This window comes from Homo sapiens, chromosome 15 (assembly GCF_000001405.40).
Source record: "Homo sapiens chromosome 15, GRCh38.p14 Primary Assembly".
Classification (NCBI taxonomy): domain Eukaryota; kingdom Metazoa; phylum Chordata; class Mammalia; order Primates; family Hominidae; genus Homo; species Homo sapiens.
The window spans coordinates 41383294-41387352 of NC_000015.10; the positions used below are offsets into that span (position 1 = coordinate 41383294).

The 4059-nt window shown below is 49.9% G+C and overlaps 1 annotated feature.

The window, feature by feature from the left end:
* Positions 266-804: an enhancer, noted in NCBI's record as "NANOG-H3K27ac hESC enhancer chr15:41675757-41676295 (GRCh37/hg19 assembly coordinates)". NCBI's record gives its function as "activates a minimal SCP1, AML or CMV promoter by ChIP-STARR-seq in primed H9 embryonic stem cells {active_cell/tissue: H9 hESC(primed)}" and the evidence as "EXISTENCE:reporter gene assay evidence [ECO:0000049][PMID:30033119]".

Genomic DNA, 4059 nt, shown 5'->3' on the forward strand with positions numbered 1-4059 from the left:
CGGCTGCCCCTACTGGGAAGTGAGGAGCCCCTCTGCCCGGCCAGCCGCCCCGTCCGGGAGGGAGGTGGGGGTGTCAGCCCCCCGCCCGGCCAGCCGCCCCGTCCGGGAGGGAGGTGGGGGGGGTCAGCCCCCCTGCCCGGCCAGCCGCCCCGTCCGGGAGGTGAGGGGCGCCTCTGCCCGGCCGCGCCTACTGGGAAGTGAGGAGCCCCTCTGCCCGGCCACCACCCCGTCTGGGAGGTGTGCCCAACAGCTCATTGAGAACGGGCCAGGATGACAATGGCGGCTTTGTGGAATAGAAAGGCGGGAAAGGTGGGGAAAAGATTGAGAAATCGGATGGTTGCCGTGTCTGTGTAGAAAGAAGTAGACATGGGAGACTTTTCATTTTGTTCTGCACTAAGAAAAATTCCTCTGCCTTGGGATCCTGTTGATCTGTGACCTTACCCCCAACCCTGTGCTCTCTGAAACATGTGCTGTGTCCACTCAGGGTTAAATGGATTAAGGGCGGTGCAAGATGTGCTTTGTTAAACAGATGCTTGAAGGCAGCATGCTCGTTAAGAGTCATCACCACTCCCTAATCTCAAGTAATCAGGGACACAAACACTGCGGAAGGCCGCAGGGTCCTCTGCCTAGGAAAACCAGAGACCTTTGTTCACTTGTTTATCTGCTGACCTTCCCTCCACTATTGTCCCATGACCCTGCCAAATCCCCCTCTGTGAGAAACACCCAAGAATTATCAATAAAAAAATAAATTAAAAAAAAAAAAAAAAAAAAGATCAAGACCCAACAATTATATTTTTGGCTTTTTTTTTTTTTTTTTTTTTTTTTTTGAGGCAGAGTCTGTCTCTGTCACCCAGGCTGGAGTACAGTGGTGCGATCTTGGCTCACTGCAACCTCCACCTCTCCTCGAGTTCAAGCGATACTCTCTATCTCTTGACCTCGTGATGCGCCAGCCTCAGCCTCCCAAAGTGCTGGGGATCACAGCGGTGAGCCACCGCCCGTGGCCTAATTATTGTGTTTTTTTTTAGAGAGACACGGTGTTGGTCTGTCACCCAGGCTGGTGTGCAGTGGTAAGATTATAGCTCACTATAACCTTGACCTCATGGGCTCAAGGGATCCTCCTACTGCAGCCTCCCAAGTAGCTAAGTCTACAGGTGTGTGCTACCACACCTGGCTAATTTATTTTATTTTAGTTTTAGAGACAGGGTCTCACTATGTTGCCCAGGCTGGTCTCAGACTCCTGGGCAAGGGATCCTCCCATCTCAGCCTCCCAAGTAGCTAAGTCTACAGGTGTGTGCTACCACACCTGGCTAATTTATTTTATTTTAGTTTTAGAGACAGGGTCTCACTATGTTGCCCAGGCTGGTCTCAAACTCCTGGGCAAGGGATCCTCCTACCTCAGCCTCCCAAAGTGCTGGGATTATAAGTGTGAACCACTGAGCCTGGCCCCCATATTTCCATATACTAGCAATGACTAATAAAAAAAAGAGACAACTGGATACTCAGATGCAAAAAATGAATTTGGACCTTTATACCATACACAAAAGTTAACTTAAAATTGGTCATAGGGCTGAGCACAGTAGCATATACTACCGTAGTCTCAGATACTTGAGAGGCTGAAGTCAGACGATCACTTTAGCCCAGGAGATCAAAGGCTGTGGTGCATTATAAGCACTCCTGTGAATAGCCCCTGTACTTCAACCTGAGCAACAGAGCAAGATCCTATTTCTTAAAAAAAAAAAAAAAAAAAGAGTGGGCACGGTGGCTCACGCCTGTAATCCCAGCACTTTGGGAGGCCAAGGCAGGTGGATCATGAGGTCAGGAGATGGAGACCATCCTGGCTAACACGGTGAAACCCCATCTCTACTAAAAATGCAAAAACAAAATTAGCTGGGTGTGGTGGTGGGCACCTGTAGTCCCAGCTACTCGGTAGGCTGAGGTAGGAGAATGGTGTGAACCCAGGAGGTGGAGCTTGCAGTGAGCCGAGATCGTGCCACTGCACTCAAGCCTGGGTGATAAAGCGAGACTCTGTCTAAAAAAAAAAAAAAAAAAAAGTCCGGGCGCGGTGGCTCACGCCTGTAATCCCAGCACTTTGGGAGGCCGATGGGCAGATCACGAGGTCAGGAGATCGAGACCATCCTGGCTTACACTGTGAAACCCCGTCTCGACTAAAAATACAAAAAAATTAGCCGGGCATGGTGGCAGGCGCCTGTAGTCCCAGCTACTCTGGAGGCTGAGGCAGAATGGCATGAACCCAGGAGGCAGAGCTTGCAGTGAGCCGAGATTGTGCCATTGCACTCCAGCCAGGGCGACAGAGTGAGACTCAGTCTCAAAAAAAAAAGTGATGAAAGAGGGACCGGGTGCGGTGGCACACCTGTAATCCCAGCACTTTGGGAGGCCGAGGTGGGTGGATCATGACGTCATGAGTTCAAGACTAGCCTGGCCAAAATGGTGAAACCCTGTATCTACTAAAAATACAAAAATTAGCCAGGCGTGGTGGTGGGCACCTGTAATCCCAGCTACTCAGGAGGCTAAGGCAGAGAATCACTTGAACCTGGGAGGCAGGGAGGTTGCAGTGAGCCGAGATTGTGCCACTACACTCCAGCCTGGTGACAGAGCAAGACTCCGTCACACACACACAAAAATTAGCCGGGTATGGTGGCGCATGACTGTAATCCCAGCTACTCAGGAGGCTGAGGCAGGAGAATTGCTTGAACCGGGAGGCAGAGGTTGCAGTGAGCTGAGATCACGCCACTGCACTCCAGTTTGGGCCACACAGCAAGACTCCATCTCAAAAAAAGCATAGACCTAAGTGTTAGAACTAAAATTACAAAAGCCTTAGAAGAAACCATAGGAGTAAGTCTCTGTGATTTACTGAGTTATTGCCTTGGGCGGATCACCTGAGGTCAGGGGTTCAGGACCAGCCTGGCCAACATGGTGAAACCCTGTTTTTACTAAAAACACAAAAAAAGTAGCCAGACATGGTGGTGTGGGCCTGTAATACCAGCTACTGGGGAGGCTGAGGCAAGAGAATCGCTTGAACCTGGGAGGCGGAGGTTGCAGTGAGCCGAGATCGCACCACTGCACTCCAGCCTGGACAACAGAGGGAATTTCATCTCAAAAAAGCAAAACAAAATGAAATTAGAAGAAATCTAAATGCAACAGAGTGGTAGAAGGCCATTAACAGTCATCTCAGAGACTCCTGCCTTAGAAACTACTCATATAGGAAATGTTCCTAACAGCAACTGTTCTGAGCAAAAACACTAAGTTATTTACATAGTACATTTACATCAGTACTTGCATTCTATGAGATAAAGTACACCAGAGAACCTGGTTTCATGCTGTGTTCCCCTTATCCAGTCCCTCTTAGCAATAGCCTTTCTTTGTGGGTTTTTTTTTTTTTTTTGAGACAGAGTCTCGCTCTGTGGCCCAAGCTGGAGTGTAGTGGCGTGATCTCAACTCACTGCAACCTCTGCCTCCGAGTTCAAGCAATTCTCCTGCCTCAGTCTCCCAAATAGCTGGGATTATAGGCATGTGCCACCACACCTGGCTAACTTTGGTATTTTTAGTAGAGACGAGGTTTCACCATGCTGGTCAGGCTGGTCTCGAACTCCAGACCTTAAGTGATCCGCCCGTCTCAGCCTCCCAAAGTGCTGGGATTACAGGCGTGAGCCACAGTGCCTGGCCAGCAACAGCATTATAACTTGTCTTAGAGAATACATACTAGCCAGCCAGGCGCGGTGGCTCACATCTGTAATCCCAGCACTTTGGGAGGCCAAGGCGGGCGGATCACCTGAGGTCAGGAGTTCGAGACCAGCCTGACCAACATGGAGAAACCCTGTCTCTACTAAAAATACAAAATTAGCTGGGCATGATGGTGCATGCCTATAATCCCAGCTACTCGGGAAGCTGAGGCAGGAGAATAGCTTGAACCCAGAAGGCGAAGGTTACGGTGAGCCGAGATCACGCTACTGCACGCCAGCATGCCAGCCTGGGCGACAGAGCAGAACTCCATCTCAAAAAAAAAAAAAAAAAAGAGAGAGAATACATACTAGCCATTGG